Raw genomic sequence first — 26,466 nt, 5'->3', positions numbered from 1 at the left:
CAGGCTGATCACTTGATGTCAGGAGTTCAAGACCAGCCTGGCCAACATGGCGAAACCGCCCTGCCCCTGTGTCTACTAAAAAATGCAAAAATTAGCCAGGCATGGTGGTGCACACCTATAATCCCAGCACACTAGGAGGCCGAGGGAGGTGGATCGCTTGAGCCCAGGAGTTCGAGACCAGCCTGGCCAACATGGTGAAACCCTGTCTCTACTAAAAATACCAAAATTAGTCAGGTGTGGTGGCACGTGCCTGTAGTCCCAGCTACTGGGGAGGCTGAGTCAGAAGAATCACTTGAACCCAGGAGGCGGAGGTTGCAGTGAGCTGAGATTGCGCCACTGCATTCTAGCATGGGTGACAGAATGAGACCCTGTCTCAAAAAAAAAAAAAAAAGAAAATATACAATGCCTGGATTTCCTTTAAAATAATCCAGGGAGGGGAGAAAGGGTGGAGACTATAGATGAGATAAAACTGCCCATGAACTGATACTTGTTGAAGCAGGGTTAATAGTACATTATATCATTCTTTCATATACTATTATTTTGTATTTTTTGTATCCAATAGTTTTCATAATCAAAAGTTAAGTTTTCATAATCAAAAGTTAATTCTAAAATCTGAAAGAATATGCACAAAAATGTAGGAAGTCAATGTGAAATTACACTAACACATGAATACTTTCCTCCTTTTCTTCTTCTTCTTTTTTTTTTTAAACGGAGTCTTGCTTTATCACCCAGGCTGGAATGTGGTGGCTTGATCTCGGCTCACTGCAAGCTCCGCCTCCCAGGTTCAAGTGATTCTCCTGCCTCAGCCTCCCAAGTAGCTGAGACTACAGGCTTGTGCCACCAGGCCCAGCTAATTTTTTGTATTTTTAGTAGAGACAGTGTTTCACCGTGTTAGCCAGGCTGATCTTGATCTCTTGACCTCGTGATCTGCCCGCCTCGGCCTCCCAAACTCATTTTCTTCTTTTTCTGTAGCAATGAGCATGCATAATCAGAAAGAAAAATAATGTTTAAAAGTGGGTTTAAAGTCTCTGTACAAGTTGTGGCTAAAAGGGGCACCAAAAGTAGCCACTTGTGGGCAGGATGCTCCCTCCTCCCTCCGGGAGAAACACAGGTGCTGCTTTGTGCCTTTAGCTCCTGGATCCTGGGGCTGAGCTGGGAGGGACTAAAGGAGAGGGGGATGGGAGGGTGTGTACTGGGGCCTGTATTCTACGCTGGGCAGAGTCCCAGCCACTCCTCATGCAGCTTGTGAGGAAGCCTTTGGTGGTCATCTTTAACAGGTGAGTAAACTGAGGCTCAGAGAGATCAGTGGAGTCATCTGAGAGAATGTGCGTTGATGCATGTTCCCTGCTGGGCACTTCCTCTCTCATCTAATCCCTGAGGCCAGCCCTGTGGGGTGGGTATCATTCTCCCCAATTTATAGAGGAAGAAACAGCACCAGAGAGGGAAAGGGACTCAACCAAGGCAGGGGATCCTGAGGGCTGGTCTGGATCCTTTCCCCAAGTGCTTAATCCCACAGTTCAGAGGGCCCTGAAAGGCGCTAGGGGCTTCTATCTTAGCACAGGGCACTTCTGCCAAGGTCGTGGCAACGACTGGGGGGGCAGGAGGCCTGGATGCTTTGTGAGGGCTCTGCCTTGGCACCACCATGAGATCTGAGCTTTTCCCTCACCTGGGCAACTGGAATGAGCAATAGCCATCCGTGGCTAGGTGGGGTTGTGGCTTGTAAACTGTAAAGTCCTATGCAATGTGCAGGGTGGTGGAATGAGCATCTGTGTACCGCCCCAGACTGCAGTCTAGTAAGTCACTTGACATGAGTCACCCCGTCTGAGCCTCACCTGTGAAGGGGCAACATTAAGCTGAGGGGGGAGGTGGGGGGAAGAAAGGGGACAGCGAAAGGCAAGGAACCCAGCTAATGGAGTACCCAGACAGCCTCTCCCTCCCGCACAGCTCTCCATCTCCATCCAGTCCCCCGTCTCTACCCCAAACAGCTCAGTTCCCCAGAGAAGCTCCCTGGAAACCAGGAGGCTGACTTCTTCACCAACTGCAGAACCACCTGAGGCCACGTGGCAGGTGAGTCGGTGGCCTTTCTCCTGGACTCGCCTGCCTGGCTTCTTAAGGCTGTGCTGGGCTGGCCTGGGTCACTCACCCTTTGGAGTCTGGCTTCTTAAGCAATGTCCTATAAAGCCAGGGCTGAGCCTCCGCAGGCCCTCTGAGATGGAGCTGGCCTCCGGGGCTGCCCGACCCAGCAGCTGTGACCTCCCACCCCAGATCCTGGCTCCTTCTCTCTTGCCAGCTCTACTCCAGGCATCGAGCTTCCCTCTCTCTCTCTTTTTTGGTCTCTCTCAAATCTTTCTCTTTTCTTATCCTCTCTCCCTCCACCCCTTGCCATTTTAGTCAGTCTTTCTCTTTCCTTCTTCTCTTTTGTCTCTCAAACTCTTTTTTCTTTCTATCTTGGTTCATATCTGTTCAGGGAAAGCCTCTTTCTGTCTCGGCCTCTCCTTTTTTCCTTTTCACTGTTTATTCTTCCCTCTCTCCTTTATCTCTCCGTTGCTCTACTTCTCTGCCTTTTTCTGAGTCTGTTTCCTCTCACCATCTCTCTCTCCATCCGTCCCTCCCTGTATCTGCCCCTCTCTCCATCTCGCTGCTGTGTCCAGCTCTCTCTCTCGCTCATTCCTTCCTCGCCATCTGGGGATCTCCCCGGCTCCGTGTCCCCTGCATTGCCCCGCGCCCCAATCACCGGCCAAAGCGCCCGCGGAGCAGAGCAGGGCCAGCCCGGCCAGCGCGCAGAGCAGGGGCCGCATGGTGCCGGCCTGGCTGAAAGCAGCACGGCATGTGCCCGCAGCCGCCCTTCCCGGATCGTGCCCGGCAGGCCCTGGAGACAATGCTCTCAGTCCGAGCCAAAATTCCTGGGCGGCTCCGGGCTTTCTGGCTGGAGAGAACCCGCCCCCTCCAGAGGCCCCTGGGCACCCCGTGGGCAGCGCAGAACCCAGAAACCCCCGGGAGCTGAGGCACCGACTTGCCACCCGGGCGCCTTCGGAGGAAAGGGGGCCGCCCCCCGAGTTGAGTTGGATGGAGGGGTTGGGTGAGGTCATGGGCTCAAGGCGACTGAGCCTGGGATCAGGAGTTTGTTATGAGCCCATTTCACAGGCAGGCGAACTGAGACTAGAGAGAAGTGTCTTCCTCAGCATCACTCTCAGCCATGGCACAAGATCTGAACCCTTGTCTCCTGGGAGTGTGGAAGGTTTTCTCTGCCTACCAAGAACAAGAAATTAATTCTAATTACATGGAACAGTGTCTGCCCCTAAGAGGGAGACCCAGACACTCACTGCTCTGGTAAGGAAGTGATAGCAATGTGAAAAGGTACTTTTCAAAACAAAAAGGTAAAGTCATGACTCTCGTAAAGATATGAAATTAGCATATACTAAAGGTTTTATTTAGTTCATTATTAATGAGGGAACAAGTAAGATGGTACAAGCAGTCCAAAGTTTAGAACACAGTAGTGGAAACTTCCCCTATGGGACATGCCCATCCAACAAGTGCAACAAGAAATTAAGTTTTAGTGAAAACACCAAGCAAAAAAGCTACAGCTCTAACTTCTCTGCTGCAGAGCCCTGAGTGCCTTGCCTGGCTGTAAGAGGAATACTTTCATCACCAAGCCTAGGAGAGTGCCTTTGTCCATCGAGGGTCCCCATTGGGGTTAACTGGAGCCCTTGCAGATCAAGGCTGCCTCTGCCTTCTGTGTTCCTGTCTGTGGCTGTGCTGTTGTCCCAGTCACCACCGTAACCAGTGATCCAGTTCTCACTCCCTCCTCCAGAGCAAGATAATAGCCTCAGATGAAGAAATTCTGGTTCTGAGCCCGAGAATCTGAGACAGACTCAGATCTAAATCTTTTTAAAGCCTTCAAGGAGATTATGATGCCTACGTGAGCTGGCTCAGAAGAAGAATTTATTTCAGGAATGCCAAGAATTTCTCATGCTTGGTGGTAGGACATTCCTTGATAATTTAGCCAGGTGAGAAGTTGTCAAAGAACTGCCAAACCCATAAGGATTCTTGTAGCTCACAGCCAGGAGGCTACCTTATATTTTGAATTTAAGATTAAGGGAAAAAAAAACACAAAAACATATACAATACATTCTTGTTGTGGTCGAGCATAAAGTAATTAACTATACAGAGAAAAACATGAAAGTCTTTTCTGTTACGAATTCCCTCTGTCCAAGATTCAGGTCCAGTCCCCTCGGCTTGCTAGGCTCTGCCTGTTCCACATCTATGCATTCCCCATCTATCTAATGTATATTCAGACACAAATGTATATACATGAGATCAAATCATAGATATTTTGAAGATTTGCTTTCATTCATGTTTACCTCAGTCATAACATTAAATCTTGGCTGTGTGTAGTGGCTCACGCCTGTAATCCCAGCTCTTAGGGAGGCAGAGGTGGGAGGATAGCTTCAGCCCAGGAGTTCAAGACCTGCCTGGGCAGTATAGCAAGACCCTGATCTCCACAAAAAGGAAAAAAAAAGTATAAAAAATAAAATAAAATAAAAATAATAAATAAATAAAAATAAAGAAGCAAAAGTTTATACACTTAAATTGTGCTTCATAATGCATGTTTTAGTCTTTCATTTTTCCTAGAAATTATTTATGTACCCAGCAAATATCCATCAATTAAATTTGTACAAGGTTTTGAGTTACCTAAAGATCTTTGAAATTATTCTAAAGTGGGCATACCATGAAAGATAACTTTTTTTTAATTTTGAGATGGAGTTTCACTCCGTTGCCCAGGCTTGGAGTGCAGTGGCACAATCTCGGATCACTGCAACCTCTGCCTCCCAGGTTCAAGCGATTCTCCTGTCTCAGCCTCCTGAGTAGCTGGGACTACAGGCCCACACGATCACATCTGGCAAATTTGTAAATTTGTAAATTTTTAGTAAAGACGGAATTTCATTATATTGGTCACAGTGATCTCAAACTCTTGACCTCAGGTGACCCACCTACCTCGCCCTCCCACAGTGCTGGGATTACAGGTGTGAGCGACCTCGCCCAGCCAAAAGATAACTTTTGAAATAAAATTCATCAGTGCAATAAATCAATTTTGTTAAACACAGATTGACGTTTACATATTTAAACATGATGTAAAAGCAATGCTAGCTTATTTTATCAGTAAATATGTATAAGTTTAAGAAAAAAATATACAAGCAGAATAAAAATGTATGCTTGCATTATACAATAATATGGGTGTACATTTCCAGAGTTCTTGTATTCATACACTGTATAAGAAGATGACAAACAATTTTGCAATGAAAAATCTTGTTCATACATTTTTGGCATGCATCAGAATATATCTGTATTCCTGAGTCAAAGGGTTTGTGCATTTGTGATTTTGATTGATAATGCCAAATTGCCTTACAGAAGAAGTGACTTTAATATATCCTCTCATCCTCAGTGTATAGAAATGCTTTTTTCCTCACACAGCTCTAACAAGCATGTCATAAAACTCTTTTTTTTTTTTTGAGATGGAGTTTCACTCTTGTTGCCCAGGCTGGAGTGCAATGGCACAATCTCAGCTCACCACAACCTCTGCCTCCCAGGTTCAAGTGATTCTCCTGTCTCAGCCTCCCGAGTAGCTGGGATTAGAGGCATGCGCCACCATGCCCGGCTAATTTTGTATTTTTAGTAGAAATGGGGTTTCTCCATGTTGGTCAGGCTGGTCTCAAACTCCCAAACTCAGATGATGCACCTGCCTTGGCCTCCCAAAGTGCTGGGATTACAGGCATGAGGTACCGCATCCAGCCATAAAACTCTTAAATATGTTCCTCAACATGATAGGTGGAAAATTGTTCCCTTAGTACAGTATTTTTTTGTTTGTTTTTTGTTTGTTCATTAGTTTTTGTTTGTTGTTGTTGTCTTGTTTTGTTTTGTTTTAGACAGAGTCTCACTTTATCGCCAGGCGGGAGTGCAGTGGTGCAATCTCGGCTCACTGCAACCTCCAGCTCCCGGGTTCAAGCGATTGTCCTGCCTCGGCCTCCTGAGTAACTGAGATTATAGGCACCCGCCACCATACCCACCTAATTTTTGTGTTTTTAGTAGAAACGAGGGTCCACAATATTGGCCAGGTTGGTCTCGATCTCTTGTCCTCATGATCCGCCTGCCTCGGCCTCCCAAAGTGCTGGGATTATAGGCATGAGCCATCGTGCCTGGCAAATTTTTAATTAAAAAAAATAAAATAAAATGTCCAGAACTGTTTGTATTTCCTTTTCTGTGACCTAGATGTTTATATCCTTTACTTCTGTTTATTATTTTTGTGTTGGTAGGCTTCTTCCTATTGAATAGTGGAAGCTCTTTATGTATTAGGGAAGTTCATCTCTGCCTGTGATATGATTGCACATATTTCTCCCAGTTTCATGATTGTTTTCTCAGTTTGCTTACAATAGTTTTAACACAGAGCTTTTTTATATTTCTACATTGTAAGATTTGCCAATATTTCCATTAATATCCCCCTATGACTTGTGGAGAACAGAGCTTTGGGCCCCAGCTGAATGGCAAAGAGCACAGTCCCTCAGTGTGGAAGACCCACTGCAGGTGACCTTGATGCCAACAGGCGGCGGGCCAGGGGGATGATGTTGATGACAATCTTCAACTACACTTGAGGATGAAGTGAGACATGGGGTCTCACTTCGACAGGGTGAGAATGAATTGGCCCAGAAAGCACTCATTTCTCCTTTCAGCAAACATTCTTTGTGAGGTCGCCACAGTCTTTGCCTATGTTTTACAAATGTGACTGAGAACAGATGGAAGATCTGCCCAAGGTCACACTGGATTCTAAAACCTGTTTCTAACTGTGTCATCCTCCAGAACGTGAATGTGCATCTGGGAGGATGATCCCCAACCAACATGTGATCTGAAAGTACATATTGCCCATTAAAAAAAAAAAAAAAAAAAAGGCCAGGTGCGGTAGCTCATGCCTGTAATCCCGACACTTTGGCAAGCCAAGGTAGGTGGATCACTTGAGGTCAGGAGTTCAAGACCAGCCTGGCCAACATGGTGAAACCCTGTCTCTACTAAAAAATACAAAAATTAGCCGGGCATGGTGGCAGGCCCCTGCAATCCCAGCTACTCAGGAGGCTGAAGCAGGAGAATCACTTGAACCTGGGAGGTGGAGGTTGTAGTGAGTCAAGATGGCACTACTACACTCCAGCCTGGGTAACAGAGTGAAACTCCGTGTCCAAAAAATAATAATAATAATAGCTTATGTGGGGAATGGGGTTGCTTGTTTCTGACTGAGGTATAAGTTCATTTGTAATGCAGTGTTGAAATGATTGCTTCTCCTAAAAGCAGATCTTGAGAAAAAAAAAAAAAAAAAGAAAGAAACAGTTGTTGAATTCTCAGTGCTGTCTGATGGTGAGTTCCCAGCAGGCCAGATAAGCAGAGAGGACTGCGGAGGGAATTCTGCTGGGTGACAGCTGGGGCAAAGGTTAATATGTAATTGGGGGTCAATGTTAGTGGGGAAACTTGCCTCAAAGGAGCAGAAGTGTGGATTCAGGACCAACAAGAGATGAGTTTCGTGTGACACAGGGGTGAGGTTAGATTAGAATTTTTAGAATATCATAGGCAGAGTTTCGTTTAGAATAATTGCCACTCTTGGGAATCTCCAATTTGCTGTAGTTGATGCATAGGCCTTGATTAAAAAGAGATATATTCAGAACAGAAAACTGAGGGACTGTCACATGTAAGCGACTGCAGTAATGTGATTTAGTTAAAAACAAAACAGAAGGCCGAGGCGGGTGGATCACGAGGTCAGGAGATCGAGACCCGTCTCTACTAAAAATACAAAAAATTAGTCGGGCGCGGTGGCGGGCGCCTGTAGTCCCAGCTACTCAGGAGGCTGAGGCAGGAGAATGGCGAGAACCCGGGAGGCGGAGCTTGCAAAAAATAAATAAATAAAAAAAAATAACAGAACATCAAGCACTGGCCTGGAAGTGAGGACTCCATGCAGATGTTTCCCAGCTGTGCCACTTGTTTGTTCTGTGACGTTGGGTAGGTAGCTTGCCGTTTCTAGGTTTTAGCTTTCACCTTCTGTAAAATAAGGCTGCCGGTGAAGGGCTCAGAGCATTTGCAGCCCAAGCAGCGGAAAGCAGCCTCTTTCTGCTGCAGGCCGTGGGAAAGTGGCCTTGTTGGCAAGCCTGCCGTCTGCATTCCATGCTCAATTTCCTGCCCTGGAGAGGGGTAGGAGGCAGGCACGTCACCTTGCACCCAGATCCCAGGCCAGTGGGAAGACATGCCCATCCCAGAACCCGGAGGCTGCTGACAGAATTGGGTGGTGATTAGGACTTGCTGGGGGCCACAGCAATCTGATTTCCAATCTCCATCTCTCTCTAGCTGTGAGCTCTCTGGTTAGTGCTGCCCCTGATCTGAGTAGCCTCTGCACAATGGGGATAGTACCCACTCCCCATGCAGTTACCGAAAAGATCAAATGAGATGTGTGTAAATGCTTAGAGCAGTGCTGGGCACATATTACATACTCAGTGCTATTTTTTATTATTGGCTTAATTATTTAAATCAAATATTAACCTCCTATCTAATGTAGGAATTCTCTCTACAGCGTATCAGACAACTGGCTATTCTCACTCTGCTTGAATGCTTCCAGTGACAGGGGACTCACTACTTCTCCCAGTAAATTGTTTCACTAGTAGATAGTGCTTCTGGAATTTTATGGAATTTTAAAGCTGAGAGGAACGTTATAAATCAAGTGTAACTGCCTCAAGAGAAAACCCAAGTTCAAGAGGTGAAATGAGGCCGGGCATGGTGGCTCACGCCTGTAATCCCAGCACTTTGGGAGGCTGAAGCAGGTGGATCACCTGAGGTCAGGGGTTCGAGACCAGCCTGGGCAATATGGTAAAACCCTGTCTCTACTAAAAATACCAAAGTTAACCAGGCATGGTGGTGCATGCCTGTAATCCCAGCCACTTGGAGGCTGAGGCATGAGAATCACTTGAACCCAGGAGGTGGAGGTTGCTGTGAGCCAAGATTGCATCACTGCACTCCAGCCTGGACAACAGATCGAGACTCTGTCTCAAAAAATAAATAAATAAATAAATAAATAAATAAATAAATAAATAAATAAAATTCTACCTTCAAAATTACTGTCTCCTAATACTTTATAACTATTATGTAGTTTGAAGATGATCTGTTCTCTCTCTGGAAGCTTTTAGAGCTTTCTCCTTGTCATTATTATTATTATTATTATTATTATTATTATTATTATTATTATTTTGAGAGAGGGTCTCACTCTATGGCCCAGGTTGGAGTGCAGCGGTGCATGATCACAGCTCACTGCAGCCTTGACCTCCTGGGCTAAAGTGGTGCTCCTGCCTGAGCCTCCCCAGTAGCTAGGACTACAGGCAAGTGCCACCATGACTAGCTAATTTTTTTGTTAATATTTTGTAAAGATAGATAGGGTCTCAAAATGTTGTTCAGGCTTGTCTCGAACTCCTGGCCTCAAGTGATCCTCCCGCTTTGGCCTTGCAAAGTGTTGGGATTACAGGCATAAGCCACTGTGCCCAGTCTCCTCATTATTTTTATTTATTTACTTTTTTACTTAATATTTTTAAATTTTATAGTTGTACCTAGGAATTGATTTTTCCTTATCTCTTCTTAGCTCTTCTTTATAAGTCCTTTCAAATAAGGTCATTTTTTTGGAAATGTATCTCCATTATTTGTTCAAGTATTTCCTCCACTCTGTTTTTACTTCTTACACCAGCTGAATTTATTGCTCAGGTGTTCGCACTTTTATGTTTATCATCCACATTTCCAAGCTTTTCTTCTCTATTTCTTATGTTTTAGTCTTATTGTGAGACCGCCACAATCATGTGTTCATATATTCTTTCTTCAACTATATCCATTCTATTTCATTTGTCAAATTTGATTAATTTCCATTTATCAAATTCTTTGTTTTAACTATTTTATTTTTCCTACCTAATATTTTCACTTAGTTTTTTTTATGATATCTTGTTCTTGCTGCATATTGCTAACATTTTCTGTTGTCTCCTATTTAAGGAGCATTATTAGATTTTGGGACCTTCTGCTTCAACATATGTGATCAGATGATACATGCTGCTTGTGTAGACTTTTCCTCCAGTTATTTGGCTGTGGGCTCATTTTCCTTTGGGAAAATGTTTGGTCATATGTACTGGGAGGGGCCAAGGCCAGCCTCATCTGTGTTGGTCCCGGCCATGTGAGGACTGAGAATCCAGGGATCACAGACCCCTTAGTGAATCCCCGTCTGAGGCCAATCCACTAGTCATTCCTTTGGCTGGAGTTTTCACTTTTAAACCCTTAGGAGGAAATAAGATAATCTACAGTCCTGGCAATTTGGTTGGAAGCATGGTGAAGGAACTACCTGAGGGCTGTCTGTGTCTATTTTTGTGAATTCTCTCCCATGCCCCCGCAGAGTTTGTGTTGCTGATATGAGTGGACAGTGCTCCGGGCACTGTTAACTGTCATGCTGAAGGAGTCAGGCTGATGACTGTCTCTCTGAAGGCAACTTGAGGGAACAAGAGCGGAATGTAAAGGCTGCCCAACCAGTTCTTCATGATGCCCAGGCTCCACCCCCACACTAATTTCAGTAGTCTTCAGTCTCAGAGAGGGTAGTGAGAAATTCCCTAATTTCCCTGCTTAGTGTTAGGAATCCATGTGTCTCTCTCCTGTCCTTCCACTATCTGTTTAGGGTTGATTTTGAAGATCTTGGCAGGGATTCTCTACCATGTAGTATCTTATTTATGTATTTATATAGAATGAATGAATGAGGTGGTGTGTTATTGTCTTTTTCTTTTCCTTTTTTTTTAAAACAGGATATCACTCTGTGGCCCATGCTGGAGAGCAGTGGCATAATCACGGCTCACTGCAGCCTGGACATCTCTGCGCTCAGGTGATCCTCCCACTTCAGCCTCCCCAGTAGCGGAGATCACAGACATGTGCCACCACGCCTGGCTAATTTTTTGTAGAGACTGGGTCTGGCCATGTTGCCCCAGGCTGTTCTTGAACTCCTGGGCTCAAGCCATCCTCCTGCCTCAGCTTCCTGAAGTGCTGGGATTACAGGTGTGAGCCACTGTGCCCAGCCAGTATCTTCATGTTTATAATATTTTATAGTATCTTCAACTTGAAATGGGGATAATGGTCACCTCAAAGAGCAGTTGTGGATTTTGGATATTTTATATCAGTTTCCAGAACAAAATAAATATTTGAAAAGTATTGAGTTTTTTTTACTTTCAAAAGACCTAATGCCTAATTTTTCTTCTCCGGGAAGGAGGAGTATGCGGATAGGTCAGTTGGCTAATTCCATCAGCATTTTCAGCCCTGGAACAACGCTCTTTGCCAGATTGTATTATGGCTCCAAATACTATTGACATTAACTACTAACCTCCCAGGAACAGTGCCTAGCAGTTTTTCTTATTGACGGTGTTGGTACATATAGAAACCAACGCTAAGCCTCAGAAATCAAGGCTGAACCATGTGATTTCTAGTTCTAAATTTTCTCTATTTTGCTACTCAAAAGTGGTCTATCCATCCATGTGGTCAAGTATGAGGAGCACAGGCTGCAATGTGGTCAATCACAAACCTTCCAGGAAAACTGTACTCGTGCTTTACGTGTTATAGTTTACAAAGTTTCTTTCTTTCTCTGCTTTATTTTCCCTCCCTCCCTTCCTTCCTTCCTTCTTTCCTTCCTTCCTCCTTCCCTCCTTTCTCTTTCTCTTTCTCTGTCTCTCTCTTTCTCTCTTGCTTTCTTTTCTTTCTTTCTTCTTTCTTTTTTCTTTCTCCTTCTTTCCTTCCCTCCCTCCACCCTCCCTCCTTCCCTCCTCTCTTCTCTTCTTTTCTCTTCTCTTCTTTTTCTTTTCTTTCTCTCCCTCCACCTCCAGGGTTCAAGTGATTCTCCTGCCTCAGCCTCCCAAGGAGCTGGGATTACAAGCAGGCACCACCATGCCTGGCTAATTTTTGTATTTTTAGTACAGACAGGGTTTCACCATGTTGGCCAGGTTGGTCTCAAACTCCTGACCTCAAGTGATCCGCCTCCCCCGACCTCCCAAAGTGCCATACAAATTTTAGGATCTTTTTTTAATTTCTGAGAAAAAATATCGTTGGAATTATTACTATTATTATTTTGAGATGGAGTTTCGCTCTTGTTGCCCAGGCTGGAGTGCAATGGCGCCATCTCGGCTCACCACAACCTCTGCCTCCTGGGTTCAAGCGATTCTCCTGCCTCAGCCTCCTGAGTAGCTGGGATTACAGGCATGGGCCACCACGCTTGGCTGATTTTGTATTTTTAGTAGAGACGGGGTTTCTCCATGTCGGTCAGACTGGTCCTGAACTCCTGACCTCAGTTGACCCACCCGCCTTGGCCTCCCAAAATGCTGGGATTACAGGTGTGAGCCACTGCGCCCTGCTCTATCATTGGAATTATGATGGGGATGGTGTTGAATCTGTAGATTGCTTTGGGTAGTATGGATATTTAAACAATGTTAAATCTTTCAATACATGAACATGGCATGACTTCCCATTTATTTGCATCTTCAGTTCCTTTCATCAATGTTTTAGAGTTTTCAGTGTAGAGATCTTTCACTTCCTTGGTTAAATGTACTCCTAGGTATTTAACTTCTTTTTAACTACTATAAATGGGATTGCTTGCTTGCTTTCTTTTTTTTTTTTTTTTTGATAACTTGTTGTTAGTGTATGAAAATGCTACTGATTTTTGCATTTTGACTTTGCATCTTGCAACTTTACTGAATTTGTCTGTTAGTTCTAACAGGTTTGGGGTGGTATTTCAATTATTTTAATGATGAAACCAAGGTCCGGAAAGGTGACAAACTTGTCTAAAATCCTGTGGCTAGAGCCAGGTTAAATCCCATCTTCAATCTCAACTAGTAGGGTAATACTTTCTGATTTTTAAGTGTGTCAAATGTATCACCAGTATGCATGGTGATTTTAGGTAATAATTATCCTTTCTTTTCATGTGTATTAGAAAAAATATAATGAACAAACCGAGTCTGGAATTTCATAGTTATTCTTGTTTAGGAAATTTTTTTTAAAAGTGAATTTCTGGCCAGGTGCAGTGGCTCATGCCTGTAATCCCAGCACTTTGGGAGGCTGAGGCCGGCAGATCATTTGAGGTCAGGAGTTTGAGACCAGCCTGGCCAACATGGTGAAAACCCATCTCTACTAAAAATATAAAAATTAGCCGGGCATGGTGGTGGGTGCCTGTAATCCCAGCTACTTGGGAGGCTGAAGCAGGAGAATCGCCTGAACCTGGGAGGTGGAGATTGCAGTGAGCCAAGATTGCACCACTGCACTCTAGCCTAGGAAACAGAGTGAGACTCAGTCTCAAAAAAAACAAACAAACAAACAAAAAAAAAAACCAAAATACTTGTAATCATAAATAATAAATTCAGATGTATTGTAGACATGATTAAAGTTGTGGAGGTGACCCCTATGTGCTTGAGATTTAGGTAACTCTTCCTTACCTTACATTATAGATGCCATTCCTCTCATTTATAACAATGTTAAGATTTCTTCAATTTAATCCTGTGCAATGTATGAATACAAGGAAAAAGTAAGTAAATGTTCATTCATGAATATTTCCCTGAACAGCATTTTTGTTTCTTTCTTACTTTTAAAAATTACTTTTCCATTTCCCACACCTATGTGACTGAACAGCATTCATTGTATACCAGAAGTATTTCCCTTAATCCAACATAATGACTTACTACAAATAGAAATGAGGCAATTGATGTACTTAAATCCTTTATAAAAGCTTAGAAGCCATCTTAAAATGCTTCGCAGAAGTAGCAAATACAGTATTTTGAGTAGGATTTTCAAGTGCTTACTGTGGGATCAGAGCACAAATCTCCTCTCCAAGAAGAGAAATGTGAACATTAAAGACTCCTATTGTCCAGCGTGGATGAAAATGGAAACATAATTCACAATTTGTTGTGGACAAGGAGCCTCACAGAGAGAATGTTTCCATTGTCTTAAAGTGTGTTACTCAGCTACCCTACTAGCATTTTTTTCACTGTGCTGACAAGAAAGGGAAGGAAAAATATTCACAACCCAGGTTGCTAAACTAAGAGCTTTAATTAATGAGACTCCAGAAAGGGCCCTAGCAAGATAAAAATGTGATTGCACTGTGCTCTCTGACCTCAGTTGCAAGTTCTTTGACTTCTCTTTCATGTTCTCAGACCCTCAGTGTAAAGATATAAGGGCTTTCTGAGATTGCAAGTTGTTTTTCTAAAAAGCCTCTTTACACATCTGGAATATAACCTCTTAAACCTAACCCAGGCTTATGTTAACACCGTGGCTTTAAAGCATGTTTAGACTGCGTGGAATCATAAACATGTTGAATGTAGGAAACACTGTTAGTTTATAAATTGGGCCTGCTATTAAGTTCTGAGGTCATTAGTCTGGTTTTTTTTTGTTTTGTTTTGCTTTGTTTTTGTTTTTTTGTTTTTTGTTTTGTCCTTACTTTTTTATTTTTCCAAACTATATGTGCTTTGCAAATCTAAGGGGTGGGTAAGAAAACAGTTTAGCCTGGTTTTTTTCCATGGTTGCTTCCACCAAGATGGCTCTGGCCTTTTCTCATCCAAAATCAACATAAAGCTGTTTCTCCCATATCACCACCATGACTACCACACAAAGCCAGGATGTCTATTTTTAAATTTGTTGCTTCACAGACTTACTACTAAACTCCTGGATAATGGGGGAGGTGGGCAACACGACGCCCAGAGTCATGTCTGTCTGTGTGATACTGGGCAAGTTACTTTACCTCGTTGAGATGTTTATGGTTCTATGAATGGAATGATCTGCACCATTTGCTCACTAGATCCCCCTTTGCAACTAAGCCATGATAATACCCCAAATAAGATGACAGGATTTTATACAGGCATGCCTGCATATTGACATTTTGATCAATGACACACAGCACGTATGACCCTGGTTCTATAGGATTAGAACACCACATTTTTACTGTACCTTTTCTATGTTTGGCTATTTTTTGCTTGTTTTGTTTTTTGAGAGAGTCTCGCTCTGTTGAACAGGCTGGAGTGAAGTGGCCCAATCCTGGCTCACTGCAAGCTCCACCTTCCGGGTTCAAGCCATTCTCCTGCCTCAGTCTCCCAAGTAGCTGGGATTACAGGCACCTGCCACCATGCCTAGCTAATTTTTGTATTTTTAGTAGAGACAGGGCTTCACCATGTTGGCCAGGCTGGTCTTGAACTCCTGACTTCAGGTGATCCGCCCACCTTGGCCTCCCAAAGTACTGGGATTACAGGCGTGAGCCACCGTACCCAGCCTATTTGGCTTTTTTTTTTTTAAATCCCATCCTAAAGAAAAGCTAGGTACACAAATACTTACCATTGTGTTACAGTTACCTTCAGTATTCAGTACTACTCTATATGCTGTATGGGTTTGTAGCCTGCGGGCAACAGACTGTACCATATAGCCTCAGTGTGTAGTCAGCTCTGCCATGTAGGTTTGTGAGTACACCCTATGAGATCTGCACAGTGATGCACTCACCTAATAATGCATTTCTCAGAATGCATCCCCATTGTTAAGTGATGCATCCTGGGCTTTGTGCATTAAAAAAATGCCAGAACACTCCATACTTAGTGCATAGACTTTATCAAATGTTGAATAAAAACAGAAACAAAAAGGAGACAATCCTACAATGAAAAGGAGACACTCATGTCTACCCTAGTGATTCACTGTACGTGGAGGAGGTAAGTGGGGCATGGACAGGTCTACAAATATAATACATATATACCCGACAACCACAGTGCTTTGCATTTCTTTATCAGTGAAAAACAAACTGAGATCTGAAGTGTATAAACAGTTCCTTAGTAAAGTCTATTTGAGAAAAAGAATCAAATGTGCATCAATATATCAAAACTGACAAATACAAGAAAAGCATTCAGCTAGAGATAATTCACAGCATTTTATTCAAGTTAATCCATTTCATTCAATAATCTTCCATATTGTTCCCAGCACCACTATTACTATCATTATTTCTCTTCGGAGAAGACCAGATATTAAGAAATCGGGTTTGAATTTCCATGATGCCTAACTCTATGGTCAAAAATCCTTTTCCTTACCAAAAACCAACTTCTTAATCACCAGAGAAAAGAGGGAAAGACTGAGATATATTTGCAGAAATTTATGTCAACTAAAGACAATTCATAGTTCATAATCTTTCAGGCTTGTGCTTTACTTGGTGACTCTCTTTTGGGGAGGGGCTTGTTTCTTATAAATGTTTGTCTAATACAAATCACTTGCCCCACTGTACCATGGAAGGGAAATGAGGGCTAGTCCCCAAAGAGCAAGCAAGCAGTCCTCCTGGGAAGAAGCCCTAATGGCTCCTAGTGGTGACACAGTCATTCTGCCAGGGTGAGGGGACACAGTCATTCTGCCAGGGTGAAGGGACACAGTCATTCTGCCTCCCCAACCTGTGAGCAATAATAAAATATAACCAAGTGAACAGGAGAGGTACTAACTAGCTGGATAATCCATGGTGGACTAGAATCTCTAAACAGGAATGTTTATGTGTTTTGAATAAATCAGAGCTGGAAAGAGACACTTTTGGAGAAGTGATGGAGAATAGAAAAGTATGAAAAAGATAAAGGTTTCTCACCAAGGAACCCACAAAAAAGGTAGTACCAGTCAAAGGTAGTCTTGGGCTTTTCTTTTGAGATGAGTGTACCCCACGTGGGTTGTGCCATTTTCATATAAAAATTGGAATGATAATGAACAAGTGAAAGTGAAATCAGTTTCCCTCCTTTGTTCAATAAACATGGATAGAGTACCTGTGTGCAAGGTAGTGGGACAGGTGCTGAGGGGAAAGGTAAAGCTGTTTAAGCTGTGGCCCTGAGCGAAAAAGCAATCTAGCAGCACCATCAGACTGCACACTACAGAGCAGAGTGTCCCAGGGGCCAGGTGGAGGGAAGGATCACTTCCAGCTGCAGCATCAGGGAAGGCACTCTGCAGTCTCCCCTGTGGGTTCTCAGTGTGCCTGTGTGACAGCTCAGCCTGCCCCATTCCAGGCACTTGCTCATCTTTCTTATCTTTCTCTCTAGCGTGAGAAGTGGAAGTTTAAGAGGATAAGATCCTGCCTCACAGGTACCTAATAAATGTGTGTGGAATTGACGTATGGTGGAGGTGTCACTTTATCTGGTGCAGCAAGGCGGAAAGAGCTTTGGGAAAGGAGAGCAAAGATGGTGGTGGTGAGGGTAAGGTGTTTTCATCAGAAGGCGAGAGCAAGGGTATACAAACCAAAAAGTCAATTTAGTATGTGGCTTAGCCCAGAGCACACGAGGGCACCAACACAGCCAAAGTCCATAAGAAGGTAGCTGAAGTCCTCTGCCAAATAGGACTGAAAAGCTAAAATCTTTCTCAGTTTCTTTCTTAAGCAACAACTGGTCTATTCAAGCTCAACCAGAGCATATAAGAGAAAAAATGACTAATGAGAGGCTCTTAAATAGTTTTCAAGGACAGACACTTTCTAGAAAGTAGAAAAGATCACTGAGTAAATACTGCACCTCCCTTACCCCACAAACACACACAAAAAAGATGAGGATGTGTAGAGCAAGCTTGTGGACATCCTCAAGTTTGGTTTTGATGCTTCTGTTGGTAAGCAGTCAAGATGGTGAGAGATGCCATCCCAAAGAGGAAAGTCTGTAGGAACCAGAGTAGCTGAGCGTGACCACTTGTGATGCCTTTATGCCTAAAAAAGAAAAAACAAAATTTAAACACCAGAATGTTAATCTTACAGTTTCATGGGAATTATTGTCTTCTATATCATTTTTTAAAATTTATACTTTCCATTACTTTCATTGGGTTTATTTTGCTGCTTTTCTCTGGCTTCTTATCTTGGATGGTTTGTTTATTTTTCTTCTTTCTTGTTTTCTAATAAATGTATTTTGGATGGTACACTATTCCTGAGAACCAGTCTGGCTGGCTACTCTCTGGGGCACAGTATTATAAGACTGTTTCTCATGTGATTCTGATGGGTGGATGGAGTAAAACGCACTGGTATGGCTTCAGATCAAATGTTTTGAAGATAGACCAGATGTAAATCCTAGCGTGGCTACCTACCAGCTGTGACCTGGGCAAATCACTCAGTATCTCTCCGAATCAGTTTTCTCAGCTGAACAACAAGAATGGCAGTAGCTAGCTCATTGAGTGTTGAGATAATTTATGGGATAATACACACAAAGTGCTCAGAAAGGAGCCTGGCACACACTCATGATAAACACCTGCTTATATTGTCATTGAAATTCAATTGCTTAAAACGAAGTGCAAAAAAAAAAAAAAAAAAATGACCCAATGGAAGTGAATGGCTTGCTACAGTCTCATCTGTATATAAATAAGTCTCATTTGGATGACTTTTATTTATAATTTTAAAAACAATATACGTAAAAACAGTATAATTTTCTACATTAACAGATTAAAGGAGAAAGATCACATGAATATCTTAATAAATGCAGAAGTGGCATTTGATAAATTCCACTATCTGTTCTTTTTCCACCCCCTCAGAGATGGGGGTCTCACTCTGTCACCTACAGCGGAGTACACTGGTACAATTACAGCTCACTGCAGACTCAAATTCCTGGGCTAAAGTTATCCTCCCACCTCAGCCTCCCAAGTAGCTGGGATCATCACAGGCATGCACCACCATGCCTGGCTAGGTTTCTTTTTTTTTTTCTTTTCTTTTTTTGTAGGGGCAGTGTCTTGCTTTGTTGTCCAGGCTGGTCTTGAACTCCTGGCTTCAACTGATTCTCCTGCCTCAGCCTCCCAAAGTTGCTGGGATTACAGGTGTGAGCCACCTGCGTCCACACTTGCCATCCATTTTTAATAAATGTTCTCAGCAAAGTTAGAAATACAATGGAACTTCCCAATTTTGATAGAGGAGATCTACAAAACTCTAGAATAAACATGACGCAAAATGTTGAAAGTTCTCCTTTGAGGTCAAGAACAGGGCACACTTCTAGTCAGCACTGCTGGAAGTTCTATGCAATAGAATAAGGGAAGAAACATAAATAAAAGTTATACACAATTGAAAGAAAGAAATAAAACTATTTCTGGACAGTTTTATACCTGAAAAACTGAAAATAATCTACAAACTATTAGAATTAATAAATTTATTTAGCAAGGTTGCTGGGTATAAGGTCAATATAAAAAATGGACTATATTCATAAAAACTACCATCAAACAATTAGAAAATGAAAAACAGCTGAGATCATGCCACTGAACTCCAGCCAGGGCGACAGAGCTAGACTCCATCTCAAAAAAATAAAAAAAGTTGGTGCGGTGGCTCAGGCCTGTAATTCCAGCACTTTGGGAGACTGACACAGGCGCATCGCTTGAGCCCAGGAGTTTGACACCAGCCTAGGTAACATAGTGAGACCCCATCTCTCTAAAAAAGTCATTTATAATAGCATCTCAAAGTAGAAGCAGCTGGAAATTAATCTAACAACAGTGTGTAAAACCTCTTAAAAAATATAGGTATATTAAAGGAGATCTAAATAAATAGAGACAGATCATTTTAACATTTAGAAGACTCAATAATAGAAATATGTGATGCTTTCCTGACCTTAAGGGGAAAGAAAAGAAAAAAAATGTAATGGAAATATGTCAGTGTTCTCCAGATTAGTTCACATGGTCAATCCAATAAAAATCTCAACAGCTATATTTTTTGTTTTTGAACACAGGACAATGCATAGAATAAAAAGGTGTAGGAAAAGGCAATCCTATTGCACAAGATGAGAGGACATGCTTTATCAGATAACAATGATTATAAAGTTGCTGCTATTAATAGAGTGTTGTGTTAGCCCAAGGATAAACAGGCCAATGGAAAAGAATAGAGTGTTAAGAAACAGATCCATACATATAAGCAAAGACAGGGCACATCAATGAAGACTGAAAGTCTCAAGAAATAGCTCTGGGATAACTGGGCATCCAGATGGAAAAGGTAAAGTTGGAAACCTTCTCTTACAAAAAAAAGCTCTAGGTAGAATGAAAACTTAAATGTCAAAAAAAAATTCTAAAACTGTTAGAAGATACTGTAAAAGAATATAACTTTAATACAAATAAATGAATAAAATTGACTAAATTCCTAAACTTCTGTTTATCAAAAGGCCCAACAGAATAAAAAGACCATGAGAAAGGATATTTGCAAAACATCTAAATGACAAGGTACTGAAGATCAGAAAAAACAAGGAGCGCCTATGAGAAGTTAAGCAAAGGACAGACAGCCCATTAGAACATTGGTGAGATTGTGGGGAAATGGGCATTATCATATACTTCGGTTAGAAGCATAAATTAGTCCCACAGTGTTGAAGGCAATATGGCAATACATATTATAATTAAAAGGTCATTCTTTTTTTTTTTTTTTTAGATGGAGTCTTGCTCTATCGCCCAGGCTAAAGTGCAGTGGTGCGATGTTGGCTCACTGCAACCTCTGCCTCCCGGATTCAAGCGATTCTTTTGCCTCAGCCTCCTTAGTAGCTGGAATTACATGTGCCTGCTACCATGCCAAGCTAATTTGTGTGTGTGTGTGTATTTTTAATGGAGACAGGGTTTCACCATGTTGGCCAGGCTAGTCTTAAATTCCTGACCTCAGGTGAACCACCAGCCTCAGCCTCCCAAAGTGCTGGAATTACAGGCGTGAGCCACAATGCCCAGACAAAAGTATTCATTCTTTAATCTTCAAATTCCAGATCTTGGAATTTTTTCCAAGGGAACAAATACCAAAGTGGGACAAATACATGAAATTCATGTTCATTGCTGTATTGCTTGTAATAGTAAAAAAGTAGAGACTTAAAAGTCCATCAGAAGGAGGATTTCTTAAATACATTAAGGCACATCTATATAGTAGAATTCTATGCACTAATATTAATGGATGAGTAAGTTTATACGTATAAACATAGACAAATAGGCATATGTTAGTCCAGCGCAGTGGCACACCTGTAGTCTCAGCTACTTGGGAGGCTGAGGCAGGAGGATCACTTGAGCACGGGTGCTCAAGGCCAGCCTGGGCAACATGGTGAGACCCATCTCTTAAAAAATAAAATAAAATACAATTTAAAATAGGCATATATGACAATGGAAACCAATTATAGAAGAGATTATATCTATATGTATATATATAATTGGATTACAGGCATGAGCCACCACTCCTAGCAACTTTCAATTTTATAAACTGAGTTTTTAACAACATTATTAACTTAAAAATAAACGTGTTTGTTTTGAAATGGGCAAAACAACAAAAATATTTTGTTTTGGAAAATAAATTTATATGATCCTGTAAATGTGTAAGATACTTAGGAAAGAAAAATAAAGATGAGTTGGCATCTTGGAAGAGCAGGCTCACTCAACAGCAGTGCTTGTTTCCTCCTCCTTCAGAGGGGTCACAGCTGATGGCCAGGTAACCCGGAGAAGGGTTTTCCTGGGGTCACCATAACTTGTTCCATTCACACACCTTTATCTGTATTCTCAGCTCATTTTACCTATTTAAAAGACAAAAGTCTTTTAAGAAAGTTTTCTTAATTTAATTCGCATTTCCCTTAATGATTCTACCAAGACCCAGGCAGATGTAAAAATCTCTTTGTGAGTATACTGTTTCCTGCCTTAGGAAAAAATGTTACTTCTGATACTTGAAAATTTTCACAATTTACCTGTTTTGGTCACTCGAGGCTGCCCTATCACAGAGGACTTCCACTTGTCAAGAACTTCTATTCTGTTTCTACATGGTAATAAAATCTACTCTACATATAAATGTTTGCAAGAACTGAAAAACCTTTCTCAGGGCTGCAGAGCCAACTGGGGTAAACAAGCAGCAAGAATCTAATTTCTGAACTAAGAGAATAAGCCGTATATTCTGAATGGAAAACTCCAGGTTGTAAAAAGTTAACAATGAACATGAATGTTGGCCTCAAAGAGATACTATTTTATTTATTTATCTCTAAGGAAAAGCCGTTCTATTTTTCTTGTTGAAATATTATTATGTAACGAGAACTACAAGCGCCTTTCAAAGAAGAGTTGAACCTCACTTCGTAATCAAATAAATACAAGTTAAAATGGCTACATACCCTTTTTAATCTACCAAAATAGCAAAGGGTTTTTGCCCCCCATCATCAAAAATGGCCTCTTTTTTTTCCTTTTTTTTCTTGAGACAGACTCTCACTTTGTCACCCAGGCTGGAGTGCAGTGGTGCAATCTCGGCTCACTGCAATTTCTGCCTCCCAGGTTCAAGCAATTCTCCTGCCTCAGCCTCCCAAGTAGCTGGGATTACAGGCGTGCACCACCATGCCCAGCTAATTCTTGTATTTTTAGTAGAGACGGGGTTTTATAATGTTGGCCAGGCTTGTCTCGAACTCCTGACCTCAGGTGATCTGCCCACCTTGGCCTCCCAAAGTGCTCGGATTACAGGTGTGAGCCTGGCCAGAAATGGCACTTTCATAGAATGGTAGTGGAAATGTAAAAACTTTAAAAAGTATTCCTGTCTCATTCTACTAATTTTAAAATTTCATTTATTTGGTTATATTTCTTCAATTTACCTGGGCCTGAATACTTCTTTCCTGCCCAGCATTAAGTTTAATTAATGTCTAATTTCTTTACTTGGTTTAGTTACTTTTGACCATGCTTGGTACACTTCTTGTGTAGCAGGCATGTAGAAATGTTTACAAGTTTATGGTCCTCATTCTTCCAAATCCCTAATGGCGGCACCCAAGAGACACATACCGCAATGTAAACACATACACACACACACCCGCACACCCATACTCACCCACCTACACACACACACACACATCCCCACACACACCCATACTCACCCACTTACACACAGACACACACACACCCGTACACACCCATACCCACCTACACCCAGACACCAGACACACCCGCACACACCCCCACACTCCCAGACACACCTGCACTCACCCACACACCCAGACACACCTGCACTCACCCACACACACCCATCCTTTACTGCCATTTACATCCACACATCCACACACACGACGCACACACACATACCGACTAAAATTAATTTAGATGCCAGTTCTAATTATATTTAGAATCCTCCCCCCTCACACACCCTTTTTTTTAATACGGAGTTTTACTCTTGTTGCCCAGGCTGGAGTGCAGTGGCGCAATCTTGGCTCACCACAAACTCCACCTCCCAGGTTCAAACGATTCTCCTGCCTCAGGCTCCCTAGTAGCTGGGATTACAGTCGCCCACCACCAGGCCCGACTAATTTTTGTATTTTTAGTAGAGGCGGAGTTTAAACATGTTGATCAGGCTGGTCTTGAACTCCTGACCTCAGGTGATCTACCCACTTCGGCCTCCCAAAGTGCTGGGATTACAGGTGTGAGCCACCGCATCTGGCCTTATAATCCTTTTAAGAAGAAAGAACATCCTTAATTTTTTGAAAAGACTATTCTGTGTCCGTTTTATAATTTTTTGGCCACTGAAAAAGATATGTCCAATCATAGACACAGTGAATATAACAGGTGGTAGTTTCAAGTGTTGACATTTGGTCCTGTGTGGTGGCTCACGCCTGTAATCCCAGCACTTTGGGAGGCTGAGGCAGGCGGATCACCTGAGGTGGGGAGTTCAAGACCAGCCTGGCCGACATGGTGAAGCCTACAAAAATTAGTGGGGCGTGGTGGCGCATTTCTGTATCCCAGCTACTCGGGAGGCTGAGGGAGAAGAATCGCTTGAACCCAGGAGGGCCAGGTGGCAGTGAGCCAAGATCACGCCACTGCACTCCAGCCTGGGTGACAGAGTGAGACTCCCTCTCAAATAAATAAATAAATAAAATGTTGAATTTTTACAAGTCGTTGTTCCCATTCAAATTTTTGAATGCAACCGCAGCCTCTTACAAAACAGCCTTGTTAAACTAATTTGCTGATGTTAAATTCTTAAGTAAAAGGGGAATTCCACAGGAATTTATATTGCTCTTTTATAAATCTCTTGAACCTGGGAGGAGGAGATTGCAGTGAGCCAAGATCAGGCCATTGCACTCCAGCCTGGGTGACAGAGTGAGAGTCTGTCTCAAACAAAAATAAAAATAAAAAAGAGGAAAAATCAGGCACAAGTATGCAGAGAAAGGTGAAGTGAGTAAAGGGTCTAACCCATAACTTTGAATTCCAAAGCTAGAGCTGATCCTCCAAAACACAGGAAATGCTACTTGCTTGTGAAATTAGTGTGCTTTTCATAAAAAGTAGAAAGTATTTGCACAGGTTTATGCAGTCCTGAGGGGCAGAGATGAATCTGTCATTTGCAGATATGAAGACAGCTCAAGGTGGTGATCCTGGACATTCAGGAGGGGAAATTAGACATGAGATCCGGGGCTGGATGCTTACTGAATTAGCCAGTCCCTGGGTCACTCAGGGGAAACCTATGCTGATTTCTGGAGCTCTTTCTTTGTATAGTCCATTATTTTAAATTTGAGATGCTCACTTAGCCCTCCTAAAATAATGTTTCTCTCTCTTCAATTCAGGGACTTCTCCAAGCTCTGTCTGGGTTCTGCTGTCAATGGTGTTGTCCAGTAAGTATCCCCAGGCAGAAATAAGAGGCTATTGTAGGGGTTGCATTGTTTGTGTCTCTTCTCAACTGGAGAAAAACAGTCCTTAGCTGCTGATTGTCTAATGTTTGAAAATGATTTTTTATATAGTTTGTCTAGTTTTCTAGTTGTTTATAGTGGAATCAGTCATTAGCTCCTGATTAGAATCTCTCATCTACTGAACTTTTTATTTTAATTTAAAACTTCTTAAAATGTTATATTTTAATTTTGTTACAGAATATAGTAATACATTATCCTAGTGTAAAATTTAAAAGGTAAGTAATACATAGTAAAAAAAAATTCCTCCCACTTTCACTCCCGGAAGTAACTGATGTTACAAAATTTTTCTGTCTTTTAAAGTTATTATATGTATCTACAAAACAAAACACAGGAAACTAGCCATAATAAAATAATGGGGTCTAAAGGAATTCAATCACATAAAATGTTAGGTCAAATTTATTGTGAGATTAATAAAAATTATACTTTTGTTAAACTATTTCTCTCACAAAAAGCACAAAATGATTGTGAAACTTACAGCACACGTTGCTGACTAGTGAACTGAGTAACCGCCATTGATTGTGAGGCAGTGACTTCTATGTCCTCTTCCCCATCTCATTACTTACAAGTCATGTATAAGAGTCTCCTTTGTTCTATAATTTCTCTGACAGTTGTGATTGAAATTTTCAATTTTTGTCAAGCTGGCTAATGTAAAACATCATCCTGTTCTATGTTTAATAGCATTTCCCTGATTACTAATATGAAGCATTATATATTGCCTATTCATGTTTCATATTTTGTATAATGTCTATATCCTTTGTTCATTATTTAATTGTGTTATTTGTATTCTTTATGTATTATTCTTTAACACATTGCTGTTTATATGTTGGTTATATTTTACATTTTCTTCTAGTTTATGGGAAGTCTTTTTCTTTTCCTAAGGCAATCTGTTGATAAATATAACCTGTGAATATTAAAGTTATTAAAGTTATCAAACATTTGAGATAAATTTATTCATTAGCTCTTTATGAGTTATTGGTTTTTTTCAGGTTAAAAGAAATAACTTCTTTTTTTGTTTTTTGATGTGAAGAACTTGGTGGAGAAATTAAAATTTCAGATGCAGAAAAAGAAGCAAGAAAATTTCTGGAATGACAGGCATGAGTAGATAACAGGTGTGATGGTTAATACTGAGTGTCACCTTGCTTGGATTGAAGGGTGCAAAGTATTGTTCCTGGGTGTGTCTGTGAGGGTGTCACCAAAGGAGATTAACAGTTGAGTCAGTGAACTGGGAGATGCAGACCCACCCTCAGTCTGGGTGGTCACCCTCTAATCAGCTGCCAGCACAGCTAGGATAAAAGCAGGCAGAGGAATATGGAAGGGCTCGACTGGCTCCACCTTTCTCCCATGCTGGTTGCTTCCTGCCCTCAAACATCAAACTCCAAGTTCTTTCAGCTTTTGGACTCTTGGACCTACACCAGGGGTTTGCCAGGGGCTCTCAGGCCTTTGGCCTCAGACTGAAGGCTGCCCGGTTGGCTTCCCTACTTTTGGGATTTGGGGACTCAGATTGGCTTTCTTGCTCCTCAGCTTGCAGACAGCCTATCGTGCAACTTCACCTTGTGATTGTGTGAGTCAATACTCTTTAATAACTCATTTTATATATACATTTATCCTATTAGTCATGTCCCTCTAGAGAATCCTAATACAACAAGACACAGCACCTAGTCACAGTGAGAGGGGTGGACATTATTTAGAAGCAAAGACAGTTCATCCATATGAAAAGGAGAGATAACAGAATGTAGGTATAGATATATAAAGATGAGCAGATGAAGAGACTAGAGATTTTGAAATTCTTGTCAAATGACCA

At 42.0% G+C, this 26,466-nt stretch overlaps 1 long non-coding RNA gene across 1 annotated transcript; it reads left to right on the top strand.

Moving 5' to 3' along the window:
* Positions 1–922: 922 nt before the first annotated feature.
* On the top strand, positions 923–5,532 carry LOC112268291 (uncharacterized). Its single transcript, XR_002958737.2, has 3 exons — positions 923–1,277; positions 1,986–2,067; positions 3,605–5,532. It is a non-coding gene; the product is annotated as an uncharacterized LOC112268291 (long non-coding RNA).
* The last annotated feature ends 20,934 nt before the right edge of the window (positions 5,533–26,466 follow it).

This window comes from Homo sapiens, chromosome 22 (genome assembly GCF_000001405.40).
Source record: "Homo sapiens chromosome 22, GRCh38.p14 Primary Assembly".
Taxonomy (NCBI): Eukaryota; Metazoa; Chordata; class Mammalia; order Primates; family Hominidae; genus Homo; species Homo sapiens.
The sequence above is the reverse complement of the archived record's forward strand: the minus strand, read 5'-3'. Positions and strand labels throughout refer to the sequence as shown.